The sequence below is a fragment of the Homo sapiens genome, chromosome 11 (genome assembly GCF_000001405.40).
Source record: "Homo sapiens chromosome 11, GRCh38.p14 Primary Assembly".
Taxonomy (NCBI): Eukaryota; Metazoa; Chordata; class Mammalia; order Primates; family Hominidae; genus Homo; species Homo sapiens.
Window position 1 is genome coordinate 114204792 of NC_000011.10, and position 21779 is coordinate 114226570.

Sequence of the window (21779 nt, forward strand, 5' to 3'; positions counted from 1 at the left end):
TGAGATGCTGGGAACATATCCAGTCCCCACATTCAGTCTTCTTAGAAACTGTTTCCCTTTTGGTTTTCTCTAGGCTTGCAAGTGGTCACTCGCCCTGAGCTGGATTTGGGCAGGTAATTTACTTCCGCTACTAATTTAACGAATGGCACTGCCCTGAGGTCGGGCAGACTGAGGAAAATATAGGCATCAATTCATTTGCCACGTTAAAACCCAGAGTTAAGTAACAAGTTAAGCATCTCCATACATTAAGTATCCCAGGCCCAACTAGGGAAGATTTCCTGGAGCTGATGAGCCCCAACCAGGCATTAGGAAAAAGGCATTTGAAAAAAAAATTTCGGCCGGGCGCGGTGGCTTATGCCTGTAATCCCAGCACTTTGGGAGGCCGAGGTGGGCGGATCACGAGGTCAGGAGATCGAGACCATCCTGGCTAACGTGGTGAAACCCCGTCTCTACTAAAAATACAAAAAAATTAGCCGGGCGTAGTGGTGGGCGCCTGTAGTCCCAGCTACTCAGGAGGCTGAGGCAGGAGAATGACGTGAACCCGGGAGGTGGAGCTTGCAGTGAGCCGAGATCGCGCCACTGCACTCCAGCCTGGGTGACAGAGTGAGACTCCGTCTCAAAAAAAAAAAAAAAAAATTTCTTCTCTGAACCTTAGGAGAAGTTAGCTAACAGAGAGATTGTAGGTTTGGGTCAGACGCAATGTTCCCTGCCCCCAGTAGGAGAAGATCCATTACAGATTGGAAATGACTTTGTCTCTTAAGTGTGCATTGTCAGATGGGACGCACGTTCCCCTCAACCAAACAAATATAAAATGCTTCCAGCCTCTGCCTCGGATTTTCTATTACTGTTTCACAGGACTCCAGAGAGTTTTAAGATAGCAATTTGATTAAGCTTATGGGGAAGATCCCATCAGATAACATTCTTTTTCTGCAGGTAGAGATAATGTGTTCAAGTATTAAGTATGTTTTAAAGGTAATTATCTTTTCCATATTCATTTTAGTTACAGGAATTGACAAGGGGGAGACTCTGCATCTGAAAGCTGCCCCTTGGGCCCTAGAGTCACTCTGACTGCTCTCCTCTGGGGAACACACTTGAGGCTTTTGACAAATGAATGAGCACCAAGGGTTTTTCTATTTTGAAATGGCTCGGGATCCCCTGTCTCCAGACAAGTGGTCTAGAGGGCAAGGTCTTGGCCACTGACCTCATCTGGCTCCCTAGCTTAGATTCCTTGTTCTGGGACACCCACTGGGCCCCAAATCTTAAGCTCCTGGATGTCAAGAGGGAGCCTGGCTGCTACTCAGAAAGAGGACTTGTCTCATCTAGTACCAAGTCATGGTGCCATATCGCCAACCTTTCAAAAGTAGAGTCTGGAATTGCCATTTACATATACTGAGCCCAGTGTTGGGGTGTTTTCACATCGGGAGACACTAATTAGGGGTCCTAGAATTCTAAAATCTGTAGACTCCTAGACTGCAGAACTGTTGCAAGGGGCTTTAGGGAGCATGATGCTGAGCTTCAGAGGGGTTCTGGGATTTGTCTGGGATCACACAGCAGGCTAGAGAGAGACACTGTGGGCTAGAACCCAGGAATCCCTGGTCTTAGACCACTGCTTCTGTCCCTCTACCCACAACTCTGTGCCATCTCCAGAAAAGCTCCTCTTTCCCTTTCCTGGAAATCCCCAGAGTAGGAGATTCTGCCCCCAGGCAGCCCTCCTTGGCCGTCTGTGAGTCAGGGTCTGCACCAGGGCTCTGTATGGGCCTGAGGAGCCCCCATAGCAAGCCTGATGCTGATGGCCTGGAGTTCCTCAAACCTCACTTTGCCTGCTAGCTGTGCTGTTCTAAGCATTCTGTACATTTTTACAAAATAGAAAAATTAGGGCTCAGCCCGCTTTCAGAAAGCTAACTATTGCTAGGGAGGAAAACATACATATCTAAAAAGATAAGTAATAAAACAAGGCAATTGGATGTGATATACCTGCACTAAGAATTGAGGAGTGATGTTTTTAGGTTCCCCATCCCTTTGTCTGCCCAAAATCCAGTCTGCTGTGGCTAGACACCTATGGCTTCTGCACACAGCATTTCCCCCATGTTACTTCTCTGTCTGATCTCTCAGGTGCCCTTGGTTTGACAGCTGCAGCTTGTTGGTCTGAAGGCAAGTGACACTGGGAAAGGACCCTAGTGAGAGGTTTATCACATAAGACCCCAGGATGGCGGCATGCTCTGTTTTTGAACGACTGCCTCATTCCTGTAAGACAAAGGTGGCAATGGAGGGTGGATGCAGAGTTGATGGCTGCAGCCCAAGTTTTGGTGCTTGGCCTCATGTGTTACATCCTAGGTAAGGATGTCTCTGCCATCTTAACACCCATACCTGCTCTTGCGTCTCTCTCTCTTATCCTTCAAAGCATCATCATTGTCTTACCCCAGCTACACAGTGAAATCATTTAGAGGAACTTTATGAAAAAAATGTATTAATAGCAAGCAAAGGTTCCCACCTCAACCCGGATGAGTCAGAACCTCCTGCATGGGGCTCAGACATGGATGTATTTTCAAGCTCCCCAGGAGATTCCTATGGATAACCAGGGTTTTGAATTTCCAGATGGGATAAGATTAGACTCTGCTGCGTGGCCCAGAAGGTTCCTCACAATCAGAGTCACAGGCCTCATCTTTTGTCACCCCCTATGATGCGTGTACACTGAGCCACTTAGAATTTCCCAGACTCTCCTGGCTGTTTTTCTCCTCCATGCATCTTCCACTAACCCCCACACTCTCATGTGTCTTGTTTGCCTGATACACACACACAACACACACACACACACACACACACACACACACACACATATTGAGGCAGAGTTTCACTTTGTCACCCAGGCTGTAGTGCAGTGGCAAGATCTCAGCTCACTGCAACCTCCGCCTCCTGGGTTCAAGCGATTCTCCTGCCTCGGCCTCCTGAGTAGCTGGGATTACAGGCATGCGACACCACACCCAGATAATTTTTGTATTTTTAGTAGAGACAGGGTTTCACTATGTTGACCAGGCTGGTCTCGAACTCCTGACCTCAAGTGATCCTCCTGCCTTGGCCTCCCAAAGTGCTGGGATTACAGGCGTGTGCCACCATGCCCAGCTAATTTTTGTATTTTTATTAGAGATGGAGTTTCACTCTGTTGGCCCGGCTTGTCCCGAACTCCTGACCTCAGGTGATCCACCCACTTCGGCCTCCCAAAGTGTTGGGATTACGGGTGTGAACCACCACGCCTGGCCTTGCCTGCCTGGTATTAATAGAGTCTTCTCAGCTCATTTGTCTTCTCTATGACACCCTTTTCACAGTTGACCCTCCTTCTGGTCTCCAGCACCATAGATGTACACCACTTGCCCTTAGCTATCTTGCCACTGCACGAGTTAGGGTGAAGATTGAACCACCTTGGGGACTTGGGCCTTTCTACTGTGTTAGTTCAAATAATCATTCAATAAATGCTTATTGCATGATTAATCAAAAACAGAAAAGGGAGCTTCCTGATTAGAAGCAGGAATGAAGAATCTGTTCTTGTCTGGCTTCAGATTTTTGCTCTTCACTTGCCAGGTGAAGGACCTTGGAAGAGTCACTCATCCTTTGCAAGTCTCAGATTCCTTGTCTGAAAAATTAGGACACCATACCTGCCCTTTATACCTCAAAAAGGGATGTGAGGACCAAAATGGTCTTAGAACAGGGTAGGGTCTTTGCAAGCAGTAAAGCATGATTCAGATGTAAGGTGATGTCATTGTGATGTTTCCTCTTGCTGTGGTTTCCTGTCATGGGCTCTGGCTTCAGGGTGCCCTGCAATGCCAATGCACCCCAGTCTGTGCCCTCTGCACAGCCTCCCATCCCAGCTTTTCTGGGCCCTTTTCTTCCGTTGGCTTCTTTTATCTTGCACCTACCTTGCTTTCTCCCTGCACGTACCACCACCACAAATGCTGTACAAGAGCAAGTTAACCACTATTGTTTGGAATGATAGAGAAAATAATGAGGGAAACAGACTGGTCCATTCAGTGATTAAGTATTCAGTAATTAAGTATTCAGTGTTAGGTGGTGGGCAGAAGTTAGGAAGAAAGGTATCTTAAGGTTTTTGATTCGGCGTCATCCGAATGGGTCAATGAGACAGATTCCACAGGCAAACCATTCCAGATCCATAACCTCTAGAGTAGAAAGTTTCAGAAGGAAGAGATTCCCCAAACTGTGTAATTCCCTTGTAAATCTCATTCATTCAATGGGATTTGAGAACCAACCACTTGTGCAGGTGCCCGCATCCGAAGATAACTTGCCCCCAGGAGACAGCAGATAAGAAGAGGGCAGAGACAAAGGAGGTCTTTTTGCGACTTGCATCATGGATGCAGAAAAGGTGGATAACCCAACTCTGGTGGGGTGAGTGGGCAGGGAAGGTTTGGAAGCAGGAGGAGGAGACACTCAAAGCTGCTTTGGGGTGCACTTATTTTGTGTGCTGGAGAAGGATTTGCTGGCCATTTCTTGTGAAATAAACTTTTTTGTGTATGCATGTGTATGTAGGCTGTTACTAATCCCGTTCCTTTCTTGATCTACTGTTTTTCAGGTTAATGGTGTCTGGGATTTGTGGAGGGAGGAAGGATATAAAAGGGCAAAAACAGGAGACCCCGGTGCCTGGATTCAGAGCCTTCACATTCCGGAGATCCCCAGAGGCCCCTCTCCCCAGACCCTTCAGCTCCAGAAAGCCATTGTGCTCCCTCCTGGCCTCTGACCCTGAGGCTCTGGGAAGCAGCAGGTTGTTGACACTTGGACAATCATTTCTTGCAAGGCAACTGCCTCCCTGGGGGGCTCTCCTCTGCCTTAGGGTGGTGACTATTCCCCCAACCAGGGTTAAGGAAGAGAAAAATTAACTGTTGGTCAGAGCAGGAGGCAAGGATAGAGAATCCTCAATTTCAGGCCCCCAGGCATGTTCACCCCTCTCTCACTTGCCACTTCAGGAGTACACCACAGCCCAGGGATAAGCTTTAGGAAAATGGGTTCGAGAGAGGCATTTCTGATCAGAGTTCCTTCTGGCATCCTGCTGTGGGTCTCATGTTTGTTGAGGGGACCCCATATTTCTTCATGAAGGATATCTGTATGTCTGCTACAGTCTCAGGAATGCAGCCACAGGAACAAAGAAATTTCTAGCCCTGGTGCTGCTACTTATTAGGAGCAAGACTTCAGACAAGTTGCTTGTCCTTTCAGAAGCTTGGTTTCCTCATTGGTAGAAGAGGGTCAAAAAGCCACTTGCCCGGTGAGCCTGCTGAGAAGAGCAGATGAAGGAGGTGTACTCTGCACTCTGTGAAACATTGCAAATGTGCGGGTTGATCATTAATGTTTTCTCTTACAGCCAAAGCTAGTGTGTGTGTGTGTGTGTGTGTGTGTGTGTGCGTGCGCGCGCGTGCACAGTTTGTGAGTGTCGGGTTCCCAAGCATTTACTCTCCTCTCTCCTTTCTAGGACATTTCAGGAAGCATTATTCAAAAGCCGGTGGGGTGGGACAGAGGGACTATTAAAATTTTTAAGAATCACCTTGCATTTCTTTCACTTTGGTCTTAATAATAAATAACTCTAACCCTGCAGCCAGGAGCTGGGATGTTCTGTCCAAATTAGCACAAATCTCTGTCTGCAACAGCCGAGCATCCCCGTTCAGTGGGCGGGATCAGTACCATTTCCCCAGCAATGAGAAAAAGCCCTCTTGCTAAGCTACAGAAAAATCTCCCTTGTGCTTTAATTTTGGAAGAAGCGGATTAGTGTGGCCATATTTAACCTTTGACCCTGAAACAAAAGCATTATCAAAATTATTTACCAAGAGCGTCTGTCTTCTTCTCCTCACCCCCACTTCCCTGTTTGCCGGGGCTAGTTTAGAATCTTGGTAAACTTCCCAGAGCAAGAGCAAAATTTTGGAAGGCCATCATTACCTTAGAGACATCCCAGGCCTGGTGTTCACTGCCAGGGCTCTTGGGGTCTAAGGTGGGTTAAAGGACAGAGATGAGAATCTTATACCACAGTGGGGTTCAAAATTTGTGAGTTGGATGTAAAAACTCTTTCTCCTCTGAAACTAGCCTAGTTTCTGGCTGTCTTGGAGATTTAACTATTCAGATGATATGTTGATTTTTTTTTTGTTTTGTTTTAAAGATGGAGTCTCACTCTGTCGCCAGGCTGGAGTGCAGTGTCTTGATCTCGGCTCACTGCAACCTCCGCCTCCTGGGTTCAAGCGATTCTCCTGCCTCAGCCTCCCGAGTAGCTGGGATTATTACAGGTGTGCACCACCACCCCTAGCTAATTTTTCTATTTTTAGTAGAGACAGTGGTTTCACCATTTTGGCCAGGCTGGTCTCAAACTCCTGACCTCAGTTCATCCACCCTCCTTGGCCTCCCAGAGTGCTGGGATTACAGGCATGAGCCAAGTGAGTGACCTAAAAGTGCAGATTGATTTCTACCTTCTTCTCCTTCCAGGCAGAAATCCATAGACTTGGTGGTGTGGGGTGGAGGTATATCTAGACCTGAGCCATTTCTGTGGGTTTAAATCTCATCTTCCCTGTCATTAACTGTCACTGTGGCCTTGGACAAATTATTTGAACTCTGAGCCCCCCACCTACCTTCCTTATCTGTAAAATGGGCATAGCAATAATAGTGCCCGCCTCCTAGAGTTATTTTTGAGGATAGATAACAGGATACACATGAAGTGCTTACTGTGGGGTTTGGTGCTTACTAAGTGTTGAGCCAGTGCTAACTACTGTTACCACAGTTGTTACCATTGTCATCAGTATCATCCTTATTGATTCTTCGTCACTTCCCCAGGTCCTGGTTGGCTCCCTTCCCCCTCCCCCGCATTGGGGTGTTATTGGCGACCCGCCCCATTTCCTGCTTGTCCTCTGCCCTCACCTTCTTTGCAGTGATTTTCAGAGTCCCCGTTTGCGTTCGCAGTGGGGAGTTTGACTTCATTTCATACCAGGAAGGCCAGCTTGCAGTGGGGGATTGGGAGGGCAGAGCGCTTTATAAGCTCGCGATGAAAGCTGTAAAACGAGATGGTCAAGGATCTGGCCAGGCCTGGTTCGGGATTATGGCCGGCCCCTGGAATGCTGAGGGGGGCCTCTTTTAAGAAGCCAGTGTCTATTTACAGTGTATCTCTCATAAACCCCAACGCTGGGGCGAGGGCAGGGGGACTCGCCCTCCTGGCATGTGATTGATTATCTGGTATTTATGCCATTGAGGACTTGTCAGCGGTCTGGGGTCAAAGGGTCATCTCATGTGTCTTGCCGCCAGCCCACCTCCTTTTGTACAGTGTGGACCGGGCGAGCTGTGCACAAAACAGCTTTTTCTTTTCCTTGGGAAAGGGGGGATGGGGAGGGGGGAGTGTCAATGAAATTTTTTTTTCAGCCTTTTCTGAATAGTGTTCTTTAAATTCTAAAGAACTTTTAATTAAAAGTCGCAGGAAAATTCATCTTGAGAAGGTTTAACTTACCTTAACAGATACTTTTGTGTCCCAAGAAGCTGGGAGTGACTTTGAAAGAAAGAAAGAAAGAAAGTAAGGGGCTTTGTTGTGCCTCTCCCCCTCCCCCAGGCATTTTCAAAGTTTCCTGGAGTTCTTGTCCACTCCTGTCTGGTGTGGACCCTGCTTGGGAAAGCAGGAAGGGAAGAGGTCATTCTTCTCCTTTAACATAGCCACACAAATTTAGAAAGGGACTTGGGGATTCTCTGCTCCAATTTTCTCCTGTTATAGATGAAGAAACTGAGCCTTGACAGGTGAAAAGACTTCGCTATAGAGTCACACAGCTACACAGTTGCGGAGTCAGGCACTGGGCTCTGATTCTCTGTATTTCCTAGTGCTCCTTTGAGCATGCCAGGTTGCTTCCCGAAGCTGCTTTGGATGCCAAGTGAAGATAAATGTAATGATACCTTTGCTGTCGTTCAGTCCTGGATGTTTGAGACTTGGGAACCACCCTTAAATTCCTTGGGCTGGAAGCATCCCTGAGGGACCACCTGGCTTATCCCCCCATCCCCCATCGCCTGCCTCGGAGCAGGCAGTCCGTGCTCACGTGTGCCGGAGGAATTGCTGTGGGTCCCTTTTCTAAAAATCTGCAGAGGAAGTCTCTATGTTTTCTGCTTGGTAGAAAATGCCGGCACCCCTCCCTCAACCTTCATCACTGGATGGTCTGGACATCCTTCTGAACAGCTGACTTTGTTTCTTCCTTCTGTGGCTCAGGAGTGGCCCACCCATGGAAGCTTGTCTGTCTGTTCCCCCATCCCCCCGACCCCCTGTGTGCCCACAGGGGGCCATCCAGAGCTGTGACTGGCCAGGACACCTCAGTCCACTGTGCTGCTCCACCATGGCCTGGCTGCTGTAGGGAAACATTGTCCCTCTTAACTCTCACCCAGGCTTTTGGTGACGTGAGGCCTTGATGAAATGCTTTGTCCATCGCTTCCAACTCATTGAACCAAGGTGGACACTGGGCAGAGAAATCATTTGCCAAGAGATAGGTATTTGTAGGACTCGCATAAATTCACGTGTCCTGTATCCTGTTGTTTGTCTTCTCCATCCCACCACCTCCTCATTTAAAAAATGCAATACAAAGAATTTTCTTCTAAAGAATAGCTTTAGAAATCCTCATTCCTTTCCATTCCCTCCATTCCCATTCACATTAAATTAGCGAATGCTAATTTGGACTGATAGGGCACCACTGTGAAAAAGGTGTGAAGAAAGATCTGCTTCTTGCTCATGGGAGGAGACCCCAGCAGTAATTAGATTCTCACTGAAGTCACTGGGTGCCACAAACTGTGCCAGTGCTTACCTCAGACTGTGTTATTTGGTCCTCATATTAACTTTCCAAGATGAACATTCCTGTGTCCAGATGAGGAACATCAGGGCTAGACATAGGTAGCCTTCTCTGGGGTATAATTTGCTTTAAGCTAAGTAGTATTAAACATGTTAAACACGTCATCTCTTTGAATCCACATAAAATCCCTAAATCCCTGTGAGACAGGGATTGTTGTTATCCTGGTTTTAGATGAAACAGGCACAGAGGAGTTAAGTAACTTACCTGAGGTCACACAGCAGTAGTAAGTGGTGAAGTGGGGTTTGATCCACCATGAATGACTGCAGAGTTCACACTTGAACTACTTGCTGCTCCACCTCTTTTAAGTTGTAGAGCTTCCTGATGCTGGCGCTCATGTTTTGTTTTGTCTTTTCCTACTATTCTGACATAAATCTGCTGGGGAGACACTATATATAGACATATATAAATCAGCCAGAGACCAGCAAAAGGTCACTGTGTAATCAGATGCCAGCCTGGGTGGTGCGTGGAGAGGAATTTAGAGAAGGAATATGTTAACGAGGACACAGTATTTAGTCTCATGTCTGGACCCCCATAGTAAGGGGACAGTGCCTTACTCATCTTTCCATCTCTGGGACCTAACTCAGGGCCTGGTACACATTATATGTTCAATAAGTACTGATTAGATTACTGGGAAAGAGTTAGTAGGGGAGATGGGACTTGAAGTTTTTTGAAAATGATATTAATAACTGTGACAGTTATTTGTGAAGTTTTTTGAAAATGATATTAATAACTGTGATAGTTATTTGTGAAGTTTTTTGAAAATGATATTAATGGCATTACCTTTTATGGCATACTGGCCAGGTACTCAGCTAAGTTTATTATTTAGTTGTATTAACTCTCACAGCAGCCCTATGGCTATTATGATCCCTGGAGTAAACTTAGGCTGAAGAGAGATTCTATATCTTGCTGGAGGATTTAAAGTCTCAGGGTGGTTGGTGTTATTTGGGGGCTTTTTTTTGGCTTTTTTGTTGTTGTTGTTTTGAGACAGGGTCTTGCTCTGTCGCCCATCCTGGAGTGCAGTGGCGCAATTTTGGCTCACTGCAATCTCCGCCTCCCGGGTTCAAGCGATTCTCATACTTTAGCCTCGTGAGTAGCTGGGACTACAGGCATGCGCCACCACATCCGGCTAATTTTTATATTTTTAGTAGAGACGGAGTTTCGCCATGTTGGCCAGCCTGTGGTGGTTTGTTTGTTTGTTTGTTTTTTCTTGATTTTGAAATTATTTTTTTTCCTAAAGCAGAGAAGAAGGCACAAGTGAAGGAGAAAAGGCAGACGTGAGTGATGATGGCAGAAAGTCTGCTCAATTGGGGTGGAGGGATTTGGAAGCCAGAGAGAGGAGCTTATCTTTTTTTTTTTTTTCCTGCTTATAGGTGGAAGTTGCTTCTTTAATATAAAGATTTCTGGATCTATGAGGTTAACTGTGTCCAGTTAATTGAATTTATAATTCAGCACCAAAACGCTGAAAAGAATTGTCTTTTATGTCCCTTAATGAGTGCTATAAAAACAAGTGGTGAATCTAATTTTACGAATGTTCCTTTATGACTTACCTGATAACTAGTAGTTGTTCAACACAAAGGACACATAACTCAGTCTGGACCTACACTGGCTGCCTGCCGTAAAATAACTTGTTTTAGAAGTTGGCCTTCTTGCTTCTCTTGAGTGGCCCAGGGATTCACTTGTTCCCTTCTCTGCTCCCTCTTCTCATTGAGGATCAGGCTCGGGTTCTTCATTCTGGAGGATTGAGATGGGTTACCTTCCCTGCCAGTCCAGGATGACCAAGACCTCACATCTCATTGGCTCTTTCCAAAAAGGGGAAGGGAAAGATATGGCAGCTCATTCAGATGTCTCTCTGGTGCAGCATATTGCTTCTACCTAGAAGTTGCCTGGTGTGCTAGCAAGAAAAGAGAAATTAAGAGAAAGACTCCTTTTGTCTTTACCCTACAACGAGAGGTAAAGAGCTTTACAGCCGCAGCAGCCGCATTAGGTTAGACATTGGTGAGAACTTCCTGAGTTGCAAAGATGTTCCTAAGAGAGACTGATAACTGTCCATCTCTGGAGCTGCTTCAGTTGTGAGTGGGCACATATATAGATGCCCTTATCTTTTTATAGCTTTTGTCTTTTTTTATGTTTTGAAAGTTTAATTTGAATTATTTTGTGATTACAGATCTTACAGGTAGATGTTGGGTACAAAATTCAGGCATTCTCTGATGGCTATTTGAGAAAGGTTGGCTGTTCCCATCTGCAATAGTCAGGGGCAGGAGCCTGGACTCACAGGCCAGTACAGCACTCAGGGAGACAGCCTAGAAATGGAAGGGCTTTTGGAGGAGGGAAGCTCTTGAACAGAGCAGACAGGGTAGGGGTGTGGGAGCGTTGATGAAGGAAGGCCAAGATAAGGCTGTGGTTTCCATTTGTTACCACCTCTCCCGCTTATCTTGAGTGAGAACAGGCCCTACAGCTCTGAGCGAACCTTTCCATGGGGCTGTTGAGCTGTGAAGAGGACATATACGAGCTCTCCTATCCTCTCTTCCCAGTGCACCCTTTCCCTTGCACACACAGGCACCTGTAAAGGCTGCAGCTTTGGTCTATTGGATGGGTGGGGACAAATGCAGAAGTGTCCCTGTTCTGGGTGCTGATTACTTCCTAGCAGAGCTGGGGGGTGGACTGGCACATTTGTCCTTCATGATCTGAGTCTTACCTCTGCTGGCCTTGTGCTCAGACTGGCTGGTGGGCCATCTTCTGCCTTGTCCCACCCTTACTAGGCTGATAAATTGCTGTTCCAGTCAACAGGGCTCTGACCCAGCCCTTATCTTTGGTCAGAAGGAGGCTGGGTGACAAGGACAGGGGGAGGGGCTGCTGCACAAGCCCAGCCTTTGGACACTGGTAACCTTTTGTGGGGGAATGTACACCCAGCTGCTTTGGGGCCCAGAGGAACATTCTGGCAAGACAGTGCTATCAGCCTAAACTCATCACACCGGAGGCAGCCTGCAGCATATACACATTTCTCTTGACTTACAGGAGACTGGAGATGGAGGGAAATAAGAAGTCACCTCCCCTTACCCCCTATTCTCACTGAGTTGGCATGACACTAAAAGATCCCCTATTCCCTATCATTTTCAGAAGAACCAAGACGGCTTGCCACTCATTCATTCAACATTTATTGCATATCTACTATGTGCTTAAATGCTGGGAATAGAAAGATGACTAGACCCAGTCTCTTGATTCAAGGAATTCAGAGTTGAGAGGAAGACAGACACATAAACAGGCAATTATAATGCAGAATGCTGAGTGCAGCGATAGAGATATTTATTATACACAGGATACTGTGGTAGCCCAGAGGAAGGGTGCTCAGCAGATACCCAGGGGACAGATAAGGCTTCTAGAAAGGAAGACACCACAAGGTTTTCAAGAAGTAGAAAGTAGCCAGGATGAAGGGAGAGAAGGACAGAAGAAATGGAACTGTATGTGTTTAGAAACAGTGACACTGTGGCCTGAGTAGCTCAGCTGAGATAGAACGTGGTGGATACAGTTGGAGGCATAGGCAAGCCCAGGCCACAGAAACTTGTTAGGCTGTGTTTAGGAGCCTAGATTTTATCCACAGATGACAAGGAGTTCTTGGAAGCCTTTAAAAAGGAAGTTATGAGATCAGATACATTTTGGATAGGTCGCACTGGTGGTTCTGTGCAGGTGAGATCAGAGGGAGGTAAGCTGTGTTTAGGAGACTTTTGTGGCTATCCTGATGAGGGATGCTTACATGATAGAAAATGAGCTGGATTGGGGTATCTCAATCCTAATGTCAGGCAAGAGGACCTAGAGGCCTTCGGGGTGACGTCCAGGCATCTAGCTCGAGTGACCAAGAGGATGTTAGTGCTGACAGCTGAGATGGAGATCCAGGCCAAGCAGGTTTGAGAGGCGAAGATGTGGGTTTCAGGTTTGGATATTCAGGTTGAATATAAGATGTCTGCGGAACATCTAGGGAGCAGCTAGGTATATGGATTTTGTGCCCAGAAGAGAAGTCCAGGCTGGAGGCCTCCTGGCTTCCTGGTGGTCACTGAGACCGTGAGAGTAGAGTTCACCTGGACAGATGGCGGGGCATGAAGCGTCATGAGTTAAGGGCAGAACACCATGGTGGGGATGAGAGTTGGGGCAAAGGGCACTGCTCAGCAGAGAAGGGCCTCCTGCAGCCAGCTCCTTAGGCTCCCTGGAAGGTGAGGAAGGCAGGAAGCATGGGACCTCAGGTGCAGAGGGCTTCTCAGAGGCGGATTCTCAAGGTATGGCCTGGTGTGGGGATCCCTGCAGATAGATGGGTCTCTCCAGGGTGAGGAGCGCTCTCCTGGCCCAGCTCCTGGCATTCTCAAATCCCAGGGATCTCTTGTGAACAGGGCCCTGGCCCTGGGGTAGGAGAGAAGAGGCTGACAGGCTGAAGAATAATCTCAGAACTGGTGGGGACTTAGGGGATTGCAGATCCACCCTCTTGCTTCCAGGGGGATTGGATGGGCAGTCCTCCAGGCTGCTGTTGGAAATTTCTCAGAGAAGGACCTGCTGTGCTGCACGGACCTTCCTGGAAGTCCAACCCAGGTGAACCCTTCTTGCTGGTTCCATTGCTGCACGTACCATCCCTTTGCACATGTGTCTCTCTTTTCTGAGGTTCATCATGCTTGGTTCTGTCGCATTGTCTGGAGGGAATACAAGCACCCTGATTCCTTCCAAAGAAGAGGAGCTCAGGGCCCTGGGTCCTGCCCCACTGGGGCTTTACATTTCCTGAAACCCCTCTTCCACTTTCCCTGTCCCACACTGATCCTAGAATGAGCACTCCATTTGGGATGGGTGGCCGCTCTCCCTCTACACCCTCCTCCAGTGGCTTGGCACTTCGGGACCAGCTGCTGGAGTGATTGACATAAAGCCAATCTATAAATAAAGTCTTTTTCTTTTCTCATAAAGACTTTGTGGTTGAGTTTGCCTTCAAGGTCAAGATCAGACCTTTCTAAATAAACACATATCAAAGGATCATTAGCAAAGCAGCACTGTTAAATTGAGATATTAACTTCTGTCAACTGCTTGTTTCTTTTTTGTTCTGTAACTCATGACTGCAGTAGGTTTTTATTATTTTGTCCTCAGGCAGTAGCATCTGGCTTCTGTAGAGACTGTAAAAATTAAAAAGCAACACAAATCATTGCGAGAGAAAAGCAGTAAATTCAATGATAAGAATTTAAAATTAAAATGTTTCGGTGCTTTTATATTCTGCAAAACATGAAATGAGTGAGTTTGTTGCCTGTTGCCATAAACCTCACCCAGCTAATCGTCCGCTTGAGTTTTTTCCTGTCTCTTTTGCTCATCACCATCAATTCTGTCTTGGCACAAGGCGTAAAGTGAGAGCCGTGTGTGTGTGTGTGCATGTGCGTGTGCACGCCCATGTGCTGGCATGTGTATGCATGTACGTGCGTGTATATGTATAGCGGGGCTGGGGCAGAGTGGTGGATGCACTCACTGACCTCCACCTCATTAGAATGGGGGAGACAACAGTAGGGAGGCATCATGTGGGAACCAGGGTAGGGAAGGAAGAGTTGAAGATTATTACATCCCCATGGGTCAGAGTTCCCTTTTTTCATCACCCTTTCTAGTTAAATACAAAAACAAAACAAAAAGCCCCAACCAACCAACCAACAAACAGAACACTCCAGGTCACAGACATGAGCATAAACAGCAACCTGTAGCATCCAAGTTAAAATGTAAAAAAGAATTCCCTGAGCAAGTGTGTGATGCTGGATTAGGGGTCTGAGTGGGTGGCTGGGTCTTTCCCATTCCAGAGATGCCCAGCCTTTGGATGGGGTGCTGGGGAGTGGGATGGGAAGCATCTTAGGCTCCTTATTCCAATCAGAAGATTTAGGGTTTCTGTGTTGAGGTCACTCATTCTTACTGCAAAATCGAGTTGTGTCTCTGGGCCTAGCTATGTCCTGGGCTGTGAGGGAGATAAAAGTTGATTGGTTTTTTTTCTTGCTCTGGAGGAACTTTAAAAAAAGCTTAAAAAAAAAAAGTCTTTTAAACAGTCAGAGGACAATTTAAGACAAATGTGAGTAAGGATGTGATGGCATTGTATAAGCTGTTTGCAGACATTCTGGGAAGCGTGCAGAGTGGTGTGGGGTGAGTTCAAGGGGAGCTATTAGGCCTGAGTTGCCTTGAACTAATTCTCCAGTCTGTTGGGCTTGGGGTCTGGAAGCCTTGGAAAGCCTGGGGTGAACACTGTCAGGGTGAGCTCACCCCCATGTCTAAACCAGGCCACAGGACTGGGACAGTGAGGGGGAATGCTGTGGGTCCCTTTTCACATAGTCTGTCCCAGTTTGACTGCTGGACCCACAGGCATGAGGCCAGAGCTCTTTGTCCCAGACGAACTTCTCCAGCCTAGAGAGAGGTGAGGAAAGAGAGCCAGTCTTTGGCCTCCGTCAAAGGGAATGAAGGAAAGTGTGAAGATTAGTGGACGGAGGGGTCGAGTTAAGAGGGTATGACTAATAGGCTGGTCATTCAGATAGGAGAGCACATTGTTCTCTGGGCCCAGATGGTCCTTGGAATAAATCAGCTCAGGCAGAAGCAGACTTCCAGTACAAGGAAGTAGGAGCAACTGCTTGCCTGCTATTCTCTAATGACATAGCCCAGGCCCCTGGCCCTGAATAGCAGCCATTCAGGCCTCCACTGTGGTGTTGGAGTGGGGGATGTGTGTGTGCAATGCATGCATGTGAGTGTGTGAGCAATGCATGCATGTGAGTGTGTGTAAATATGTCATGTTCTAGCCTCCGATGCTTACAGAAGAGTGGATGAGTGTTTGTGTTGTAAGGAGCTGGTACAGGGAGATTTTTACCTTGGAGCCCTTCTCAACTTTAAATTCCAACCCTGAAAGCCGTGGAAGTACTGGAGTCATTTGATTAATGTCTCCTTCAGTAGATGGGAAGCTCTACCAGGGCAGGGACTGTGTCAGTCTGATTCATCAGTGTCTCCCCAGACCAGGTGCTGGTGGATGCTTGATAGACATAGATGGAAGAAAGTTGTAGCAACATTCTTATTTTTCTCCATTGCCTTGCAGTCACGGCCCCCGTTAATTAAGTAGTATATAAGTAAATGAATGTATCAGCTACTCCTCCCATGACTTCCCTCTAGGGACGGTCATGAGGACAGAGTGAGCTGGGGTAGGGATGCACACCACAGCAGTTACATAGAGTTTTGGGTGGTGCAGGTCCTTTATTTCTGTACTTGGGACACTCCACAGATAATGTGGCTTTGAAGCAGGACTTTCTGTCATAAAAGTTTTCCAGGTAGACAGCTTCCCTAGTTTCCCTGGTTGAAGACATGCAGGCATGTGCAGGTCGTAGAATACGTGTAAGCATCACGGTGATCCGTGGTGGTTTTTCTGGCATGATGGCCAACATTTCAGTGGAAGAGCCTACCCACTCCCCCCTCATGCCCTACAGTCTCCATTCAAAGGCTGTGCTAGTTCCTTTTCCCTTCAGAACCCATTCAGCTTCTTAGGAAGGAGGGTAGGGAAGAGCCAAGCAGCAATATCACTGAGTAAATAGGAATAATCAAACAGATACTCCCTGGAGAGAGTTTTCTTTCTATGAAGATCTTAATTAATATGAACGCTTTGTCCTGGTGTTCTGAGGCAGACTCTCTGTACCAACCGTGTGTGACTGCTGATCCAGCTCTGCCTAAATCAGATCACTGGGGTCTTTCATCCTTTGGGGAATAAGCTCCTTTGGAGAATCAAGCCAGATCTTGCCTGTTGGGAGATTAAATAAGTTGCCCTGTCTTAAAGTTTAAAATTAAGTGCATATTAAGCAAATGACAGTGGAGGCCACTGAAGACACCTTAGGCCTGGAAGCATTTCAGTTAGAGAATGTTTCAGGGACTCCACACACATTCATTCCCCTTCTCCACTCCACCCCACTGTCATGCCATCCTGACTTTCCACTCACTGTAAGGTGCTTCAGAAGACCCAAGACTCAGGCTGCCAGAGTGGCTGAGTTGGGTGACTTGGGGGTTGTTTCTCTCCCATTCATGTCTGAGATCATGAATGGTCCTCTGGGCCATTTCTTGAGTGTTTCATTTCCAAGGCCTGTCAGAGGGAGGCAGTCTTTAGCATTCTCTGACTGTGCTGGTATTACTGGGAAACAACAGTCTTCTCTTAAAAGGCAATTTCAGAAAACAACTGCAACTGAATGACTCAGGAAGAGAAAGGAAAGGGGAATAGGATGAGTGAAATGTATGGCCCAAGAGCTTTTGGAGTCTGGAAGAACAAAGGAGGAATAAAGGATGGGTACGTGGCAAGAGGAGACCCATGTTACAGAGTGTCCATGATCATGCAGTGACCATCCAGCTTGGCTCTGCTGTCGCCTGCAGAGAATACACTAATGAAACAAGTGAGTCTTGGGTGAGGGGTGGTGTGGAATCGTGCTTGGTGGAAGCATCTTTTGAATCACAGGGTCTTTCATGCTGATCCTTGAGGCACTGAAAACTTCACAGAACTTCCATCTGGGTTCAAATGGGGACATTTAGAAAGTTCTTCAAATTCACTCCTCTCAATGACTTTTGCCCGAAGACTCCAAGCCCACAATTACTTTAACCTGAATGAACAGAAAGTATCATCCATGCTGTTTAATTCTCAGTGGCCTCTTGGACTAGCCTGAAAGTCACAGCTCCCCCAACCCCCAAAATATAAGTTAAGAAAGAAGCCTGAAGGTGATGGAATAAACACTACGGCTTGTCTTTCTTATTTTTAGGGGCTCTTTGAGAGAGGGGGAATCAGGAAGTGTAGGAGTGAGCAAAGTGATTCTGGGCAGAAACCTGAATGGATATGACAAGGACGAGGGATCCTTTGTCCGGGAGCTGGTAAATCCCTGGGGGCTGCCTGTATTGTCACATTTGCTTGCGAGGACACCTGGCATTGTATCCACCACTGCCAGATCATCTCTAGATCCACAAGAACCAGGATCTTTGGCCAGGACTGAGAGCAACTCACATCTGACAAAAGCCTGTTCACCTCTTAAAAGAAGCCCCTTTTTATTTTCCTAGCAGGAGGGTGTTGGAGGTCATGATTTCTGAGCATGCTAGTGACATGGCTTTTGGCATTTCCATTAGCATCCCTGTTCTAGAGAATCCCCATATGCTGCGAAAATTGATCTCAAAACAGTATATCATATATATCACCGTCTGAGGAGGGACGAAAACCCACCAAGAGTGTGATTTGTGGGGGCCCATTGCTTGAGTGTAGAGGGCTCAGACTCTGAGGTCAGCTTATGTGCCTGAGGGCAGCTCACAGCAGGCCCTGCAGGGATAGCTGAGAGCCTGCCCTGGTCTTGGAGGAGAAAGAGATAGGGAGTGTGCACCAGGAGACATCTACATGTTCCACCAGTGCCCAGAAGTTGTTGTCAGGTTTGACTTCAGATCCCAAACTGTAGGTGCTCGTTGGCTGCAATCTCACAGCTTTGGCCACAGAGTGATAGCCGTTCTGCAGGCCTCTCTAGAGATCTGTGTCTTCAATTGTGAATGACTCCTCATCAGGAAGGGACATCTGGGTAGCACTGCACTGAGTACCACATGAATGAATACTTCCAGGTTGAGAGGAGAAACCAAACCCACAAAAGCCTATGCCCTGCTCCTAACACATGTGGATATGAGTGTACACCTAACAATCGCACGTATTAAAAGATATGGGAATATACGGACTCAGAAGCCTGCAACTCATAGGGAATTGGGGATGGTGAGTGGGTGGGTGGCTTGAGAGAGGAGAGTAAGCCAGCATGTTTACTTGAGTTGAAGTTGGTCAGAGTCAGATATTAATGGTGTAGGCTCTGAAAATTATGACTTGCCTGGAGCTCTGGCTCAAGCCCACAGAAGTATTAATAGATTATTTTTAATGTATTTATTTGTTTATTAATTCATTCGGTAAATATTTATTGAACACCCATTCTTACTTAGTAGTATATTAGGCTCTGGGAATACAGTGGTGAGCAAATCAGAACCCATGTCTTCATGGGTTTCATGCCTTCTAGGGAGGCACACAAGAAAATAAGCAAGTCATATACAGGATAAATATTGTTATATTGGAGGTATAAGGATGTTATTAGAGCACACGTGAGCAACCTCCAACTTGGATGGAGGCTTCCTGGAGGTGGTGTCATCTAAGCTGTCATCTGAAGGATGAGAAGAAGTTAAGACAATGAAGGAATGGGGGAGAAAGGGAAGAATGCCAGGCTGAGAGTCAAGGTAGGTAAATGTCCAGAGTAGGGAGAGAGTAAGACAAGTTCATGGAACTGAAAATGGGAGTGGGGAGGAGGGCTAAGATCTGAACTTGGAGAAGTAAATGGGCATTAAATGGTGAAAGGCCCTTGAAAACCATTTTAAGTAGTTTTTGCCTTTTTCTGGGGACAATAGGGAAGTAATGAAAGGATCTTAATCAGGGGAGGGACATCAGGTGATGTCATGGAAAAGTTACTTTGACTACTTGGTTTTGACTCAACTGGTGGGTTTAAGCTGAAGGCAGGGAGATTGGGATAATATTGCCATCATTTAGGCAAAGAATATGGTAGTCTGAACCAGTGTTGCTGTATGAGGGGGTGGATAAATAAATGCACAAAAAGATACTAGAAATCCGAAAACATTTGGTAATTGATCTCTTTCGAGAGGTGAGAGAGGAATCTAGGATAATGCCCACTTTTCTTGCTTGGGCAACTGAGTGATAGTGGAGTTCTTTACTGAAATGAAGAATACAAGAAAAAAGAGCTTTTTTTATTGTTATCGTTAGGATACTGAACAGTTTTCATATACAGTAGCAGGGTGTGCATGACATCCAAAGGTAGGGTGTGCCTAGGAGGCATGTGGGTATACAGACGTATCTGGAATTCAGAAGAGAGAGACCCACTGGATATGTCCATTTTGGAGTTGTCATCAACATATAAATGATCATTGAAGCCCTTGGAACTGGGTGAGTTTATATAACAAGAGAGTATAGAAAGAGAAGAGAGCTTGGAATAGAATCCAGAGGAACCCCAACATATTCCACCCCTCCAGAACAATCCCAATCCACGATGGAGATCGAGGAGTTGCTGGAAGAAATAGGAGGGACACCAGAAGAGTGTGGTGTCATGGAAGCTAAAGGAAGAGGTTTCAAAAAGAAAAAAGCAGTCAGTTTTAGATGGTGCTGAGAAGTCCCCTAAGAGGCAGACTAAAAAATGTCTGTTGCTCTTAGTGACATGGGAGTCGCTGGATATCAAAGGCAAACAGTTTTGGTGTCAGTGGAATGATAGAAGCAGGAGTGGGATTACAGTGGGTTGAGGAGTTAGTGAGCAATTGGGAGGTAGAGGCAACGTGGGTAGGCAGCTCTAGGAGTGGAGGAGGTGGTTAGTTAGACCGATCCAAGCTTAGGGTACAGCAGGCTGGTGAAATTGAAGGATCCCAGGCAGGGGAGTTCAGGAATTGGCCAGAAGTCAGTGGGGAGTTGGACGACGGGCCTTGAAGTGTGGGCCGAATATGAAAGAAGTAAGGAAAGGAAAGGCATTCTAGGGAGATTTTTGAAGATCAAATAATGGGTTTGGTGGGAGTAACTGGATGGGAGAATTTAAAAGGTGGGAATGAGGTTTGAATATAACACTGTAGAGATAGAGCTCTTCTTGGTGATGAAAGACATAGAGTGTTCTCTATAAGCACCTCCTAGAGGGGGCCTAAGTGCAGCTCATGGTACCTGTCTTAGTCTGTTTTGTGCTGCTGTAGCAGAATGCCTGAGAGTGGGTAATGTATACAGAACAAAAATGTATTTGGTTCACAGTTTTGAAGGCTAAGTCCAAGATCAGGGTGCCAGCGTCTTACAAGGGCCTTCTTGCTGCACCACTCCATGGTGGAAGGCGAGAGGGCAAGAGAGAGCAGAGCACAAGAGGGGACTAGATTCATTTTTTCCTAAGGAACCCACTCCCTTGAGAACGACATTAATCCACGCGTGAGGGCACAGCCCCCATGACCCAAACACCTCCCAAGAGGCCCCACCTCCCAACACTGCTGCATTAAGATCAAGTTTTCAACACAGGAACTTTGGGGGACACATTTAAACCATAGAAGTACCTAAGTTAAAACACCACAGCCCACTGATTTAAATATCTGTACCCCACACCCTTCTTCACCCAGCCACTGGATCAGTGTTCTAAGCAGCTACTGTTTCTCCATCCCCTAATCATGTGACACTGTGATAGACATTGTTCATATATTATCTCTAATCTGCCCAGCAACCTTGCATGGTGGGTACTATAACTCTAATACAGAAAGGAAACTAAGACCCAGAGATACTAAGTGATTTGCATATGATTATGTAGTTAGTAAATAAATGGAAGAGTCAGAATTTGAACCCAGGTGTGGTCTGACTTCAACACCGAGGCTCTTTGCTTTGTACTTCTCAGACTGTAAGCTTCTTGGGGCCAAGAAGTATTTTCTTATCATTGTGTAGCCTCAGGGTTTGATTCCTATACAGAATTGGGACTCAAGAAATTTGAGGTGCATGAGTGAGTCAGTAAGTGAGTAACTGAGTGAGGGGTACATAAAGTAACTCTCTAATGCTGTTCCCCAGGGGAAATAAAGCACCACCACCCAAAGAGAGAAATGAAGAGCACTGGACAGAAGAAAGGAAGAGCAGAAAGATTTGGCCATCAAGCGATGCTGGTGTTGGGTAGCTAGAACAGAGGTGTCTCTCTTCACTACTGTTTCTAACCAGGGTGCTGGACAGCCTGTGGTTGGCCTGAGAGAGTCAGCCCTAAGGCCTCCATCTGCCCCAGCATCAACCCCAGGCTCCAGAGCTGTCAGGCAGTGGCCCAAAAACTCCAGAGGAGGAGCTGAAAGGGGAGGTACCTAAGAAACAAAACCCACATGGGAGGAGAGAACCCCAAACCACGAAGTGACATT

General features: G+C 46.7%; 1 protein-coding gene across 6 annotated transcripts in view, besides 3 other annotated features; it reads left to right on the top strand.

The window, feature by feature from the left end:
- Positions 1–21779, top strand: part of ZBTB16 (zinc finger and BTB domain containing 16) — a 197060-nt gene that overhangs the window by 145081 nt on the left and 30200 nt on the right. The window contains exon 5 of one of the 6 annotated variants that reach the window (XM_005271658.6): positions 4580–5541. The exons of the other annotated variants lie outside the window; for them this stretch is intronic. Coding sequence (XP_005271715.1) covers positions 4580–4584 — 5 coding nt within the window. The 3' untranslated portion in view covers positions 4585–5541. Of the gene's footprint in view, positions 1–4579; positions 5542–21779 lie in introns of those variants that run through there. 6 annotated transcript variants of the gene reach the window in all.
- Positions 7725–8225: an enhancer, noted in NCBI's record as "H3K4me1 hESC enhancer chr11:114083238-114083738 (GRCh37/hg19 assembly coordinates)". NCBI's record gives its function as "activates a minimal SCP1, AML or CMV promoter by ChIP-STARR-seq in primed H9 embryonic stem cells {active_cell/tissue: H9 hESC(primed)}" and the evidence as "EXISTENCE:reporter gene assay evidence [ECO:0000049][PMID:30033119]".
- Positions 8226–8726: an enhancer, noted in NCBI's record as "H3K4me1 hESC enhancer chr11:114083739-114084239 (GRCh37/hg19 assembly coordinates)". NCBI's record gives its function as "activates a minimal SCP1, AML or CMV promoter by ChIP-STARR-seq in primed H9 embryonic stem cells {active_cell/tissue: H9 hESC(primed)}" and the evidence as "EXISTENCE:reporter gene assay evidence [ECO:0000049][PMID:30033119]".
- Positions 11096–11390: an enhancer, noted in NCBI's record as "tiled region #4637; K562 Activating DNase matched - State 5:Enh". NCBI's record gives its function as "activates a minimal TATA promoter and a strong SV40 promoter by Sharpr-MPRA in K562 cells {active_cell/tissue: K562}" and the evidence as "EXISTENCE:reporter gene assay evidence [ECO:0000049][PMID:27701403]".